At 39.6% G+C, this 17,027-nt stretch overlaps 1 long non-coding RNA gene across 5 annotated transcripts in view, besides 2 other annotated features; it reads left to right on the plus strand.

Moving 5' to 3' along the window:
* LINC02866 (long intergenic non-protein coding RNA 2866) overlaps positions 1-1,925 on the plus strand; it is a 69,001-nt gene extending 67,076 nt beyond the window's left edge. For all 5 annotated transcript variants that reach the window (NR_186440.1, NR_186439.1, NR_186438.1 and 2 more), the window contains 2 exons: positions 572-648; positions 1,156-1,925. This is a non-coding gene — a long non-coding RNA (long intergenic non-protein coding RNA 2866). The remainder of the gene's footprint in view (positions 1-571; positions 649-1,155) is intronic.
* Positions 3,777-3,921: an enhancer, noted in NCBI's record as "145 bp enhancer 269 fragment used in the MPRA reporter construct; PK_construct_267". NCBI's record gives its function as "activates an SV40 promoter by MPRA in HepG2 cells {active_cell/tissue: HepG2}" and the evidence as "EXISTENCE:reporter gene assay evidence [ECO:0000049][PMID:23512712]".
* Positions 3,842-3,855: a transcriptional cis regulatory region, noted in NCBI's record as "HNF1 motif; enhancer activity is reduced when this motif is scrambled". NCBI's record gives its function as "necessary for full MPRA enhancer 269 activity {active_cell/tissue: HepG2}" and the evidence as "EXISTENCE:site-directed mutagenesis evidence [ECO:0005528][PMID:23512712]".

Below are 17,027 nucleotides of genomic sequence, written 5' to 3' on the forward strand. Positions count from 1 at the left end.
AACATAAACGCTTTTTCCTTGCCTCTCCTTCAGTTTTGCTGATGAGGGAGATTTTGCAGCTTTACTTGGTACCAAAATAGCTCTGTTTTGCAGACCATTATCATCTTCAAAGGGCGGGGCAATTATAATGAACTAGAACACAGGAAGTTTACCATTTCTCAGTATTAAAATAGAATTCCTTATTACACAGATGCTTCTCCCAAAAAGGAAAAGCAACTAGAATTTTTACTTTCTTCAATCTGTTGATATTACTGTGCTGTATTAATATAGTAAGGCATTCGTGTCATTAATACTTGGGAAATGCTGCTTCATTCTCTATTTTTATTTGAATGATGTTTCAAAAAATAATTCAAAAACGTTTATTGCCTAAGAAACATTTTAGTCAGCACTGCTTAGCTGAAGCCAGCACTAAAAACACAACCTTTTTAGAACTCCACTTTTTTTATGTAAAGCATTAAGTGGTAACCTAGTAGCAGGATTTGGAATCAAGAATAACATTTGCCGAGTGGCTACTGTAAGACTGATTCAGTATAAACACAATCTCACTTGATTCTCATAATAATCTTTGCAGGTATCTATCATCATTCCCATTCTGCAATGAGGAAATGCTGTCAGAGTGATTAAGTAATTTGCCCATGGTCTCACATAGTAAGTACTGCAGGTGAAACTCTGACTTCTCTTCTCGTTGCCAAAGCCTACAAACATCCTTCTCTATCAAGAGGCCCTTATAAAGCTACCATCTATTTTATTAAAATGTCATGTCTGTGTAAGAAGCTTAACACACAAGGCTGTCTGTATCTTAGATAACAGAATCTCATTTTGCTCATTTCTTCTATAAACGTTTCCTGGGTTTTTCCTACGTACTTGGTAATGTGCTGAGTGCTAAAACCAGAGATAAAATACAGTAGAATCAGGAGAGACAGCCAATTCAAAGACAAATGTAATTTCAAATTGCCAATGTTTCACTGCTTTTGAGTTACAAAAATGCCAACTTTATATGATTTATACTAAAATATGTTATCCAATAAAGAGAATGGCACATTTTGTTCCAATTATTCCAACTCAATATTTTAGAAAAGTAAACAGATTTCTGTGTGATTTCCCAGCATTTTGATTATACTGGCTATGTATATAAATGTTTCTTTTGGTTTATAGGAAGCCTGTCTTCTCCAGGGAACACAGCACTCAGAATCGTCTCGGCCCCTGCATAAGCCTGCATGAGCCTGGGCTCTGGGGACCCATCCTGGTGCATCATTCGTTGGCTCTGTGACAATGGGCACATCGTTTAACCTCTCTTGGCTTCATTCTCCTTACTGGAATGATGGAGAGAGTTTTGCCTATTTCAGAGGCTTGCTCTTCTATACGTGAGCCTATAAGTAACTTGTCTTAAGAATTTCCACTCCTTCTGTACTCTGATTTAAATTTGAAGGCATCAAAACAAAAACAATCAAGATTTCAGATTCCAAATACTTTCATTTTCATTTTTTATTTTGATTAGAATTTCTTCTGAATGAATTTCTGTTTTGTAATTTTAGCATTGCCCTGAGGGGGGGAAAAGGCAGTTTATCACCATGCAGTATATTTTTCAGACAGCCTCTCTTTGACAAACTGATTTTTGTCAGTCTCAACTGACTCACCAATTCCAAATCCCAGGGCTTCCCTGGGAAACTTCCTTGGATCATGGCTCTGCCACACAGGACCGACATCCCAGAGGCCAAAGCAACCTGCTATAAACTGAGATCATTGCTCAGCAAGCTGGTACCACATGCAAGGAGTCTCAAGAGCTAACAGGAAATGATTCAAGACCAGAATTACCCAGAACAAGTGTGTTAGCTTCCTCTGCGCATGGGATAATAAGGAGCTTGCATCACCAACCTTCCGTGAATAGCCTACTCAGTGATTCAACAGGTTTCAAAATTGTGAAATAAGGGATGTCTCTTGCATGGTGTACTTTAGAAGTCTCTACCTGAGGATGAAGGAAGTACCCAGGAGTAGGCATCATTCCACTTTTGTACCATCTTCCACTATGTTTATATGGGTCCTCACTGAGAAAAAGGTATTAAAAGTGAGATGGAAAGAATAGGTCAGCTAGGTGAAAAATGGGAGGAAGAGACAGAAGGATCTGGGTTACAAAAGGCTGAGACCAGGCCGGGCACGGTGGTTCACTCCTGTAATCCCAGCACTTTGGGAGGCCGAAGCAGGTGGATCACGAGGCCAGGAGATCGAGACCATCCTGGCTAACACGGTGAAACCCTATCTCTACTAAAAATACAAAAAATTAAAATTAACCGGGCGTAGTGGCAGGCACCTGTAGTCCCAGCTACTCAGGAGGCTGAGGCAAGAGAATCGCTTGAACCTGGGAGGCAGAGGTTGCAGTGAGCTGAGACTGCACCACTGCACTGCACTCTAACCTGGGCAACAGAGTGAGACTCTGTCTCAAAAAAAAAAAAAAATGCTGAGACCAAAGTAGCCTGGTGGCTTTGGGAATGGAAGTCAAACCTGGTGCGTGGGGTGGAGTTCCTGTAGTTTTTATTATACTCTCAGAGTAAGGCAAGGTCAGTGAAGCATTTTGAAGGGAAAGATGGCAAAGTGGGTCCATATTTTTAAAAGCTCATTTGAATTGCCATGTGGCAATTCAAATAGGATAGGATAAAGAATAAAAGCAGAAATGGAGAGAATAAGAGAAATGTGGCCGGGTGCAGTGTCTCACACTTGTAATCCCAGCACTTTGGGAAGCCCAGAGAGCAGCATCTCTTGAGTCCAAGAGTACAAGACCAGCCTGAGCAACATTTCAAGACCCTGTCTATACAAAAATTACAAAAATTATCCTGTGGTTGTGCACCTGTAGTCCCAGCTACCCAGAAGGATGACGTGGGAGGATCACTTGGGCCTGGGAGATCGAGGCTGCAGTGAACCAAGATCATGCCACTGTACTCCAGCCTGGGTGAGAGTGAGACCCTGTCTCAAAAAAGAGAGAGAAATGTGGTCTCAACAAGCATTAAGGGGATGGTGGGAAAGGATGAAATTAATGGAAGGAGTAGAGGGAAGTGCAAAGGATGAAATTAATGGAAGGAGTAGAGGGCAGTGCAAATGGGCAAAGAATCTGTCTGAGGGTGAGGCTGTGCACAAAGTCCTTGGGATATAGCAAAACAGGTCAGTGAGGCATGAAATCAGAGAGGCAGGCTTTATACAGACTTGTGGTAGTTGCAGGACGAGGGTTGGGGGGAAGTGGTTTGCAGACTGCTGTGAACTACAGACATTTTTTAAGGATATCAAGAAGAGCCCCCTCATTTTCTTCCTTACCCCCGCTGCCCCACTCCTGATTCATGGGCAGGTGAACCTAGCCCATGAAGCAATGCTGACCCAACCATCAAAACATGACACCAGCTTGCTGCCCAATCCTCTGTGGACCAAACTGCAGTCAGTCACCATGTACAATACAATCAAGCAGTAACACTCTGAGGTTCTCGAACGCCCCTTTACAGAGGGAACTTGGCAGGGAGTAGCCATGTGTGAACAACAGGGACTCCCCATTGTTCTGCACTGATGATTGAATAGACTTCCTTGGTGGCCCATGGAGACAGCTGTTTTTACTGAGGAACATTTTGCCCTTTGAATGTGATTAGTAAGACAGAGATGACTCTATTCTTTAAAGGTCTCCAATGACCAAATTTGGCCTCTGAGAACTGGACCGAAACATTTTGTGTGAGTCACGTCTGTTTGCCTCATTTTCTGTCACTAGTTGTTATGGAAACTACATAGCACAGCCTGAGGGTTCAGAATTCCTGAAGTTGGCCTCAAACTTATGCATAGTTTGTACAGCAAACAAGTTTGCTTACTTTGTTAATCTTTAGCTACTTCCCATCCTGCTCAGATTGGAAGCGGAAGAGGTCAATACTGCCTAGCGTCCACTCTGGTCTTTTCACATGAATCAAAATAATAGACTTGACCTTGTGTCCTGCCCTGAGGATGGTACAGATATTTAAAAGAATTCCAAATCACTTCCTGGGTTATCTGATTGTAGGATCAAAGTGGCCCCCTTGCTAACATAAAAATGATACACATGTGAAAAGAATTTAAGACTTCTTCATGCTGTCTTTTTTGGGTTCATCCCAATCTTTTGGCAAAATCTCCAGCCAGATCTTAATGGCCACTGGGTTTACTCTGGGAAATATGCACTTTAGAGAGATGTTTGACATATTTTTGTTACTTGAACTTCTTTGAGATATCTATAGATCTTTGAAACTCAGACACAAGAAAGTTTTATGTCCATGGTGCCTCCCGATTATTCAAAGAAAGGTGATGAGTTTTATGGCTTCTTCAGAAAGGAATCTAAATCAGACAGACCTGGAGTCATAGTCTGGTTCTACCATTTAATAATTGCTTGACTGAGTAAGTAAATTACCTTTGTGAGCCTCTGTTATCCATCTACAAGACAATGCTATTAACAACTATCCCATGGGTTGTTATGAAGACTAAGCAAATTTAACATGCAAATTGCCTAGAACAGGTTTTTATACATAGTAGGCACTTAGCAAATGTTAATTTCCTTTCCTTTTCCATTGCACTACCTGCTTTGTGGCCATGTTGTTGACCAATAGCACTTCCAGTTGCAGATGAGCAGGAATAGACAAAGAATGTGGAATTTTTATAAAGTTCCAATTAAGAGAGCCTGAAAGCCATCCAGGTGTTCCTTCTAAACTTAGATGTGTGATTTAACATGAGGAAGCCATGTAACTTTTGTGCTGTGACCATAAACTGAGAAGGCTGGAGCATGTAATCCTGAAGCCAGGCATTTTAACTGATGTAACGGAAGCAATGTGTATTTTTACTATTAACTAAAAAGTGACTGGGGCAGGTCTCAATCCATAGAGAGGTATTTTGCCAAGGTTAAAGACATGCCTGGGGAAATTTTAAGTCCCAAGAGTATCTGTGACTTGTGTTTTTTTCCAAAAGGTGGTAAACCAAAAATAAAATTCTAAGCTCCACAGCCATCAGAATGAACCCCTCCTCTCAGCCAAGGGCATTCCAAAGTTAACCTGAAAAACTGGTTCAGGCCGTGATGTTCCTATCATGGGAGTCAGACATGCCTCATTATACCTTCCTCCCTTTTGGAATTCAGGCACAGCTGACTAGCATTAACATCAACACAGAGACCTTAGAACTGGTAAAACAGACTCTTTACGTCTGATAAGAAACATTTACAATCTGTTCTTTCTGAAGCCTCCTACCCGGAGGCTTCATCTGCATGGTAAAACCTTGCTCTCCACAACCCATTATCATAGCCCAGACATTTCTTTCTATTGATTCCAGATCTTTAGATAATAATACAACCAATCAGAAAATGTTTGAATCCACCTATGACTTGGAAGCCCCCACTTTCGGTTGTCTTGGCTTTCTGGACCAAACCAATGTACATCTTACATGTATTGATTGATGCCTTATGACTCCCTAAAATGTATAAAACCAAGCTGTAGCTGGCCACCTGGGGTACAGGTTGTCAGGATCTCCTGGGAATGTGTCAGAGGCCATTGGTAACTCATATTTAGCTCAGAATAAATCTCTTCAAATATTTTACAGTTTGACTCTTTTTGTCGACAGGGAGCTTTTGGAACGTCAGTAATAAAGGAAAAAAGCAAGCAGGAAGGGAAAAAAGAGAGGGAGGATAGGCAGTGAGGCAGATGGTGACATTCTTGTGAGGCTCTGATTAGCTTCAGTAAATCTACATTTTACATAAGAAGAAGAGGGAGTAGGGGAAAAAGTCAATGACGCATTGTCCTGTGCTCAGTCAACTACATTTGACATAGCTAAAGTAACCGCATGAAAAGAGGGAGCAGAGGAAATGGGGCTATGGCACAGGGTTGTGAAATTACAGCTATTTGGGAACAAAAGGAAAACAGTGTCCGTTCCCAAGCTTAACTTTCTCTTGTCATAGTGTGTTTGGGGCCCCAAGATTCTATTTTCTTTCACACTACTAACCCCAATGAATATATGCTTTATCTTTTAGAAACTGCACAAAAGAAAGAAAAATGCAAGTTGGAGAAGAGACCAACATGGAGCTTGTGCTTGCTCTCATTAAGAACTCAATCTCTTGAAAAATCACATTCTAATATTTCTATGGGTGAGCACGGATTTCACATCAGCTCCCCATAGCCTTCTTGGGTCCATCAGTTCATCACTTCTAGAAGTTGGCCACCTGTGAAGCCACTTAGGGGAGGTCACTCATCACTGCTGGTGACAGTGGTGCTCTGTGTGTGAATACTCATGTTCATACCCATGGCAGGGGATTTTCTCTCCAGGTTAAACAGTGTTGCTGTGTTTCCCTCTCTCTTCCAGTCTCACACGTTCAGGAAAATTAATCCCCAAAGTCCTCATTCATTATTTAGCAAATATGTTCAAATAGGAGAGAATATCAGCTTAAGTTTAAGCTAAGGCCCTCTGCTAAGGAAATACAAAATATATATGTGAAAAGGAAATTCTAGTTGAAGAACAGTATGAAAACTCCCAAAATGGGCTGGAGAATTTGTGATTACAGTCTTGAGAGATCATTTAAAAATAGAATCAGATTAGCAAATGCGTTCAGTGCTAGGTAGGGGAGTTAGTCATAAATCTAACAGGCTCTATGTAGAGCCACTGAAGACAGACATAGTTAAAACTCAAGTTGATTTCTGTATATTATTTTTAATGACTTAGAATTCAATCCAAAATTTGCTTAGTGTTATTGTGTACCTTTATGCAAATAATGTACACTTTCTAAGCATCAGTTATTCTTCTGTGAAATTGGGATAATTTTACTTTTGTCAAGGGCTGCCCTGAGGAGTGAATCAGATGCTATACGTAAGCTCAGTGGGTACAAGGCCTAATAGTAGTGGCTTAATGCGTGTACTCTTCTTCTTTTTCCTTAATAGAAGAATAAGGTGAAATTAAAAACAAGGTTGATAATTACATGTATATTTTAATGATTCATCAATCAATAAATGATAACATTAACAATAATTTTACTGTCAGTACTTAGAAGTTAAAAGGAGAATGGTAAAATCAGTCTGTTGATCCTAAAAGTTTTATTTTTTCTTTCATCCTTTCATAAATTATATCTGAATCTAGATTACTGAAATGCAACAAATAAAAATATTTACAAAGCTATCTTCTCTTTTAGTGAATATAATGTTATTAGAAAATAACGGTTACTTCATTATTCAACATTCAATGTGTCTTCTGACTTTCTTACTCCAATTTATATAAAAAATTTTTAGAATTTTTAAATAACAATGTTATTGACATAAAATTCACATACCCTGCAATTTGCTGATTTAAAATGTAAATGAAATTATTTTTAGTATATGCACAGAGTGATACAGCCACCATCGCAATAAATTCAAGAACATTTTATCGCCTATCAAAAAACCCTCATCTCCCTATAGTCACTCAGCTTCCCTGCCTCACTTCCACAACTCTAGGCAACCACTAATCTAATTCCTGTTTCTATAGGTTTCTCTATTCTGGACTTTCACATATAAGGAATCATATAATATGTGGTCTTTTGTCTCTGGCTTCTTTTACTTAGCATCATGTTTTCAAGGTTCATCCATGCTGAAGCATGGGTCAGGACTTCATTCTTTGTATTGCCAAATAATATTCCATTGTATGGATGCACCACATTCTATTTACCCATTCAGGATTTAATGTACATTTGAGTTGGTTTCCAAATTTTGGCTATTGTGAATAATGCTGCTATAGAATTACAGAATTTTAGAAGGTGCCATATGGCTTATGTGGCCCGTTCCTCTCCATTTACAGATATGCTAATGAAGCATCACAAAAGTGGGGTGAATAGCCTATGTCTCAGTGCTTCTCAGTAGCAAAACATTAACTAGAACCCAGTTCTTGTAATTATTTTATAACTGCCATTCCCATCTCTACCAATAGTTTGCAAGGTTTTAGAGGGACGGCCTTGCACTAACAGTTAAAATGGATTAAGTAGCAGATATGAGCCAGTCTCTGTATCCCCAGCAATATACAGTGTAGTGGAATATACAACACGACTTGGTGATTGGGTCTGATTCTATTAATCTCTGAAAGACTTATCCTAGTGCAGAGCACGTAGTGAGCATATAATAGGAAATTGTGTAACTAGTATGTTGGAAGAGCTGAAGTCATGGGGTATAAGCATGCAAGCAACTTAATGTTTGATTTTTATTTTCCCTTTAAGCCATTCATTGTGGTAGTTTTTTTGAAATAATCCTAGATAAAAATTTGGATAGGCCCCAATAAATTAAAAGCCCTAGAATCACATTATGTCACAAAACAGCTTTAATTCAGTACTTAGAATAGTAAACCTATGTAAGAATGAAAGGTTTCATCTTCACTGAAGTAGAGTCTTCTCTCGTGCCTAAGGCTCACAGCCAGCCAGCAACATGCAAGGGCTGGGGAGATAAGGTACAAGAGGAGCTGGTGAGGCCTAATAAAATGGATGCTGTGACAAGATGGGCCTGTGTTCTCTAGACCTGGCCAGTTGTTACAACCTGTTTCTTTCATGGCTGCTTTTATGGGTTCTTTAGAGTTTATCTCCCCCGTCACTGGGTGGCTACAATTCTCTTGACACGAATGATTTACACCTTTCTGGTTTGTCACTTTATCCCTCCTTAGCTTCTAGGAATACAGCAACCCTTCAGCCAGATCACCCCTCCTGGTGGCCCTACTGGAAAGTTCTAGATATTCCTTTGTATGAATGGTCCACATCTGGTTCCCTGGAAATTCTCATGCACCCTTTGCCCTCCAAGGGCCAAATCCAGTGTAGCCTTGCTTCTACTCATCTTTCAGCAGCAGGGAAATATCCTTATTCCACCCTTCCTCTTTGTTAAACCAGTCAAGTCTGTCCCTCTTCCCACCCTGCTAAATACTTCAGACCACACATATTCTGTCCTCTGATCAGTTTCCTTCAAGTTCCTCTCTTGACTTGAGATGGTGAGAAATATGTCCTCCCACTTGGAGTGTTGATGTGTTTAGGGGAGGGGACAGAACTCACATCACAGCTCTCTCTCCAAGTAAATATTCCTGAACATTCTTTCTGAAGCTTTTGTACTTTAGATATAGAAGAGGAGTTCAGCAGTCAGGGAACTGCTTTTTATTAAAAACAAACAAACAAAACCTAAAACATTTGACACTTTGCATTTTGGTCTGTAGCCTTACTTTAGAATATCATATCTATTATATCTTGGTCTCTCAAATGTAATTTACAATTTAATGTCTGGTTATACTTTGAAATTGTCTAGAAGGCAGGGTATTACAATAAAAGGAACATTGACTTAGAGTGATACTAGCTATCATGTGTGGAACTCTATACCAGACACCATGCTAATTTATTTATTTATTTATTTATTTATTTAAGATAGTGTCTCACTCTGTCGCTGGGCTGGAGTGCAGTGGTGTGATCTCAGCTCACTGCAACCTCTGCCTCCTGGGTTCAAGCGATTCTCCTGCCTCAGCCTCCCAAGTAGCTGGGATTACAGGCACCTGCCACCCCTGGCTAATTTTTGTATTTTTTAGTAGAGACGGGGTTTCACCATGTTGGCCAGGCTGGTCTTGAACTCCTGGCCTCAAGTCATCTGCCCTCCTTGGCCTCTTAAAGTGCTGGGATTACATGCATGAGCCACCACACCTGGCCCAAATAATTTATTAACATTATCTCATTAATCTCTTTCAACAACTCAATGATAGAGCTATTTTGATCTTCATTCAATAAAGCAGGGACTTAAACCTTCAAAAGGTATCATCTAGAATGGTGTACTAAAGGTGTAGTTTATTTGGGTGCTTTCAACAGGAAGAAACAGAGCAATCGCACACCCTTAAATGGCTTCAACAACAGAAAGCAGCACTATTTTACATAGTAGTTAACCCAGAGATAGGGGCCATGCCAGTGCTAGTTAATCTGACGGCTCAAGGATGCGTCAAGCACCTGGGTTCTTTCAATCTTTTGGTTATGCATCCTTGGTATTTAAGCCTGTCCTAGGCTAGTTCCTTTTGCTATCACATGATGGTTGCCACATTTCTAGAAATCAGATCTAGATGAGACAATGCTTAGAATAATTGTTTCTCCCTTTTAGTAAAACTCTTCCTAAATCTCACCATGAGTGCCTGAACAAAATGGAATTCTGCAACAAGGAAGAAAAAGGAGGATATACTCTAGGTGTAGAGTTGACGACTGGTTACAGGGGTTTAAGTAACTGGACTTAAGTGGTTAAAGGAGTCTTACCTTCTCAGTTCCTTAGTTCCTTCACCTGTAAAATCAGAGTTTTGTGTCCTGGTGATTGTCTATTTGCTTTTTTATTACAGCAAAGCTGATGGTACTTTATGGTATCCTTTAAAAGAAGTAAATATTTAAGAGTATGACTTTTAGGTCATTAACAAGACTGGATCATTGTCTTGAAAGTAAAAACACCCACATTTCAATTATTGTTAGTTTTTTGTTCTTTCAGTGATAAATCACCATATAATGTTATGGAAGAGTTACTCAGGAGCTTCGAATACTTATCTCTAGAGGCAGCAGATGTTTGTTTGTTGTAGATGAAATAAATCTCCAAAGTAGACAGATTTATCTGTCAATCAATATGGGCATATAGAGAGTGAGGAGACAGTGGACCTAGGCAGGCTCACACTGGCTGACCATCACCCAGGTCAGTTGCCACACTCGTTCTGCAACTTTGAAAGGAACACACAAAGCACAGCCTCATGCACAGCCAGTGAACAACTGGGCTCAGATTATCTGCGGACGCTATAGTTTATTTATTTATGTATTTTCTCTTTTTTAGACAAGGGCTTTCCCTGTTGTCCAGGCTGGAATGCAGAGGTGTGATCCTAGCTCATTGCAGCCTCAACCTCCTGGACTCAAGTGATCCTCCCACCTCGGCCTCCCAAGTAGCTGGGACCACAGGGGTGTACCACCAAGCCCGGCTAAACTCATTATGTTGCCCAGGCTGGTCTCAAACTTCTGGCCTCAAGTGATCCTCCCACCTCGGCATCCCACAGTGCTAGAATCACAGATGTAAGCCACCACACTGGTCCAAGTGCAGTTTAGATTGTTGCTCATGCTGTTAGTCATTTCTGGTTTTGGTTAACTTTTATTTGTTTTAGACAGTGTCTTGCTCTGTCACCTGGACTGGAGTGCAGTGGTGTGATCTCAGCTCACTGCAACCTCTGCCTCCGGGGTACAAGCGATTCTCCTGCCTCAGCCTCCCAAGTAGCTGGGATTACAGGTACCTGCCACCACACATGGCTAATTTTGTATTTTTAGTAGAGACAGGGTTTTTACTATGTTGGCCAGGCTGGTCTTGAACTCCCCTGACCTCAAGTGATTGGCCTGTCTTGGCCTTCCAAAGTGCTGGAATTTACAGGCGTGAGCCACCATGCATGGCCTCAAATAGTATTTTCTAATAGTATTTTGCACCTTTAAAATATTTGTTCAAACTCTATTTTAGGCTAACCTTTGAGTACATAGAGATGTTTGCTCTATTGCAGATCTTGCTCTAAAGTTGATCTTTCTTCCAAGCTCCTGACTTTTATATGAAGCTGAAGATTCCCTAATTATACTTCCATAGCTCAGGAAAATAACTTTCAGACTTATCCAAAATCAAGCTCTTAATCCTAACTGGAAGTTTTCAATACCTGCTTAACACTCAGTTCTCAATTGTATTTTCTCAGAGAAGTTTCCCTCACTGTCCTGGTCTAAATGAACTCACTCTGTTGCATCCTCCTTCTCTCTCATGATGTTTATCACACCATGCAATTATATATTCATTTGTGTGCCTCCTTGCTCAGTGTTTCACACTTCACCAATCTGTGCATATCAGGAGGGTAGTGACCATGTCTCTTTTGTTCACAATTACATTACTTGGCACAGTATACAGTAGGTGTTCAATAAGTATTGTGGAATTCATGAAGGATACTGCACCATGTTTCAGAAGTTTGAAGATGCTAGTTTTATTATATCTGAAGAAACCCACCACCTTATGCAAAAAGAAATTACTGGGATGCTTTAATATCTAAAACATCTCTGCTGAAAGAGTCTTGTTTGTTGAATGGATTTAGAAAGAGATAAAACATTTGATAGTGAAGAAATGTTATAGTATACTGTCTTTAATTCCTGGATTAAAATTTGATATGTTAAGAGAAGTCCAGGGTAATAATAGACAAAAATTACTAGATAACTCAAACAAAATGTACTTGATATTCACTTATCATGAAATACAGGTTTGTGGACTAGATTTCTTGCTCATTAGGAATATTAAAGATCTTCAACTTCCCTTTTTTTGACAAATTAGCAAGTTTATGTCCAAATAGGTTACTTGGTTTGCTCTCTACCAATGTCACATTGTATAGGGGACACTAATCACTGGTCTTCTAATTCCTAGTCTGGTATTTATTTCATTTTGTAATTATTTTTTAAAAGTTATGAGGACCATAAACATATTATTTTGTGACATAATCTTAGCAAAAGGGCAAAGAAAGAAACTTTCAGGATCTTATTGTTAAGTAGTTGGAATTTTTAAGTAACTTATTTTACTAAAATTTCTCTAATTCATAGTAACACTTATTTCTTTATTTCTTCAGAAAAAAACGTTGTTGTGAACGTTGGTCATCCATAAAATAGAATATTATTTAGTGATAAAAGAAATGAACTATCAAGCCATAAAAAAAAGTTCAAGAAACTGAAGTGTATATTGCAAAGTAAGCGAACCCAATTGAAAAGGCTATATACTATATGATTCCAACTTTATGACATTCTGGAAAAGGCTAAACTATGGAGACAGTGAACAGATTAAAAAAAACAATGGTTACCAGGGTATGTAGGGGAGGGAGGGATGAATAGGTAAAACACAGAAGATATTTAGTATAGAGAAGCTATTCTATATAATGGTGGATACGTCATTATACATTTGTCAAAACCTGTAAAATTTACAACACTAAGAGTGTGAACCCTAAGGTAAACTATAGACTTTGGGTGATAATGATGTATCAATTTGGTTAATCAATCATAACAAGTGTACCACTCTGGTGGGGGATATTGATATTGGTGGAGGTTGTGCCTGTGGGGTCAGGAGGCATACAGGGACTCCATACTTCCCACTCAATTTTGCTTTGACCCTAAAACTGCTCTAAAAATAAAATCTATTTATTAAATGTGAATAAATAAATAGGTAGGTAAGTAGGTAGATAGATGATAGATAAATGTTGCTCATTCCTTTTATTTTCATTAGTGATGGTTCCCACTGTGCAAACAATTTGTGGAGTGCCCTGCTTTAGATAGCAATAGGCAGTGTGGCACGGCAAGGCATCAAGTCAAACCAGGGTCAGCACTTGGGTTCTGCAGGCTGCACATTGCCTGCCATGGTGAACGTGTCCCTCCAAAATTCCTATTTGAAATCCTAACTTTCAAGGTGATGGCATTAGGAGAGGAGATTAGGTCATGGGGGCTTTGTTTTCATGAATGAAATTAGTGAAAAGAGGCCTGAGGGAGCACCCTTGCCCTTTCCACCATGTGAGGACACAGCAAGAAGACGGCTGTCTGTGAACCAGGAAGCAAGTCCTCAGCAGACACTGAGTTTGCTGGCACCTTGTCTTTGGACTTCCCAACCTCCAGAAATATGAGAAACAAACTTCTCTTATGTATAAACTACTTCACTTATGGTACTTTGTTATGGCAATCCAAATGGATGAAGACTCTGCCCAGGCTTATGGGCACCATCCACATAGACTAGGATCTGATTCTCCTTTGAGTTGTAACATAGCAGCCCTCATTCGAGTCCATCCTCCCTTAGAAAATTGACTGTGACTTTGGTCAATAAATTTAAGCTTTTTGTATATTTGGCATTTCATTTCCTATAAAATTGAGATCATAACATATACTTCATAAAGTATACAAAAATAATATCCCAGAGGAATAATTTCTGCTGGGGGCAGAGACCTATTAAGTGTGGCCTGCTCTAAAGGTTGTTAGAAATGTTATTTATCCATTACGGCAAATCCTTCAGGTTTCCTCCTTAGGCTGGACTTTGGAATCTTCTTGGAAGATGAGGTTCTTCTTCAATTCTTCAATTAAAAAAAAGGCTAAGTTTGATGAACTACAACATCAGGAATAAAAACAGGAAACAATATTCCAAGTGTGATTCCATCTACCAACGTAGAAGTATGGACTACAGGCCAGAATTCAAGATCTCTAAGCCATGCTCCAATTATCCATATTTGTTACTTTTGATATTTTCTGTTGCTTTTCCTTTTAGGGTGTAGCAGTTAAAACTTTCACTCTAAAAGTGCTCAGTGCCTGCCTTAGGAGATACTGAGCACATCACAGCCCATCTTGGAAAAACAGACCTGTAAGGATTTGAATAGATGGCAGTAGCCTAAAAAGAAGGGAAGGGAAGCAGGCTAATGACCAGGAGGTGATTTCTGTAGCGTGGGAGGAAAAAAAAGTTATTGTTAGCCATCCTGGTTCCAAGGGGAAAAGGGGCCGCTGCTGCCTAAGTAAATTGCCTGACAGTGAGGCTCAAGAAAGAATTTCCTTTCCTAGGGAGACAGTATTATTGGATCTCTTAGGAATTGCTTTCTTTCTTCCTGATTGAATTATTCTTAAATACAAGGTGTATCTCCTTGTTTGAGTAATAATGCAAATGCTGTTTTATATAAACTGTCTTCCCTTGACTCATCAGAAAATAAAACAGAATCATGGTATCTATAATCCAGTGGCAAATATTTTAGAAAAAAACTAATCTAAATGGAAGGTAGCCTCACTGACTATTTAGAGCCTAATTCTTTTTTTTTTTTTTTAATTTTTTATTTTCTTGAGACCGAGTCTTGCTCTGTCACCAGGCTGGAGTGCAGTGGTGTGATCTCAGCTCACTGCAACCTCCACCTCCCGGGTTCAAGCGATTCTCCTGCCTCAGCCTCCCAAGTAGCTGGGACTACAGGCGCATGCCACCATGCCTGGCTAATTTTTGTATTTTTTAGTAGAGACGGGGTTTCATCATGTTGGCCAGGATGGTCTCAATCTCTTGACCTCATGATCTGCCCACCTCGGCCTCCCAAAGTGCTGGGATTATAGGCTTGAGCCACTGCGCCTGGCCTAAAGCCTAATTCTTTTAATACAATCAACTCACACTGGGCAAAGAGGTAAATCAGCAGAGCCAGAGAGCTGGCATCTATCCCAGTTGGTACAAATGCTCGGGATGTTCCCTATCTACCAGCTAAGGAAGTGCGGAAGACAGTTGCTCTTCTCAAACCAGTCTGAATGAACTCGCTGTATTTATTACGCACACACTTACATCTTAGGAGAGGTGATTATTTATTTAAAAAGAAACCCCGATGGGCTGAATTCTGCTAGGGCTGATGGAGGGCTTAAAAATATAAATCGATACAATTTCATTAAGGACCTCAAAGCAAGATTCATAAAAAGTATTTTGCCCACAGACAACCAAGAGTTAACTATACAGGAGACACCGTGTTGAGAAAGCCTCCAAGTTACTGCAAAAAAAGATTGAATGATATTGGCCACAGAGCACAGACGCCATTCAGTCCTTATTACTGGAAGAAATCTCAACTTCCTTTATGAAAGAAAAAGGAAAATTAAAATTTAGAGAATTTGAGAGTCTGATAAATCTGTATTGATTCTCAGAAAGCAGGCATGAATTTTAATATGAGCCTAACCATGACTCAGTATGAAGTCTATATTTTATTAATCCATAGACACTCATTGTCAATTAATATATTGTTAAGGGCGCATATCCAGTTAACAAAAACATTCCTTGAACTCTGCTAGGCACCACTGTGTTGAGAACCGGGGAAAATTATTGGTTAAAAAAAACTCCACCCTTCCTTGTAGAATACTTACCTATTTTGAAGAGACAGACTAAAAAAGTAAACAGACCAGAAACAATAAAGTAAATATACATTATGATCTATGAAGTTAATAAACAAGGAACTAATGTCCAGAATAGATGTCTAGGGAAGGCCTTTCTGATGGTTTGGCCTTTCTGAGATCAAAATGGTCAAAAGAAGATGAAATTTAAAGGAATTGTTTAGGTAAATAAAATAATAATCATAAAGATGAATGGTAATTTCTGCCATTCTAATAGCCTTGTCAAGAATGTCCTACAGAATAATAGTTCTTATACTTCAGCATGTGTCTGAATCGCTTCCTAGAGGGCTTATGAAAACACACATTCCCGGGCACCACCTTCAGGGGTTCTGATTTAGTTCGTGTTGGGTAGGGTCTACACATCTTTTGCTGTTGTTGCTGGCTATTTAAAGCACACTTTTTAGGCTCAATGCTGTTTGTTAACAAATGGCAGAGGTATAGGTTAACAAAAGTGAGGTATTTTAGGCCAGGTGCAGTGGCTCAAGCCTGTAATCCCAGCATTTTGGAGGCCAAGGTGGGTGGCTCACCTGAGGTCAGGAGTTCGAGACGAGTCTGGCCAACATGGTGAAACCCTGTCTCCACTAAAAAATACAAAAATTAGCTGGGCATGGTGGCAGGCACCTGTAGTCCCAGCTACTCAGGAGGCTGAGACAGGATAATCGCTTGGACCCAGGAGGCGGAGGTTGCAGTGACCCAAGATCATGCCATTGCACTCCAGCCTGGGTGACAAGAGTGAAACTCCATCTCAAAAAAAAAAAAAAAAAAAAAAGTGAAGTATTTTACACTTGTATTACTACAGCTTCCAAAGCATTTGCATGTACTTTATCTAATTTGATCTGTATAATTATCATGAGAAAGAAAGAGCAGATGACTTTATCTCTATATTATTCATTTAATAATTCATTCATTCATTCAATACATATGTTTTGAGATTTTATTAGGTGATCATCCCCATGCAAGGTGTGCTGGGGATGCAGTGCTGAGCAGAATGGACATGGAGCTTAGCACTCCAAAAAACAGGCATACATTAAGCCAAGAATCACACGCTATATACAGTAACTATAAAATGCACACAACAATCACATTATATAGATGAAAAGTGGCATAAAAATGCACAAAG

The sequence above is a fragment of the Homo sapiens genome, chromosome 8 (assembly GCF_000001405.40).
Source record: "Homo sapiens chromosome 8, GRCh38.p14 Primary Assembly".
In the NCBI taxonomy this organism is placed as follows: Eukaryota; Metazoa; Chordata; class Mammalia; order Primates; family Hominidae; genus Homo; species Homo sapiens.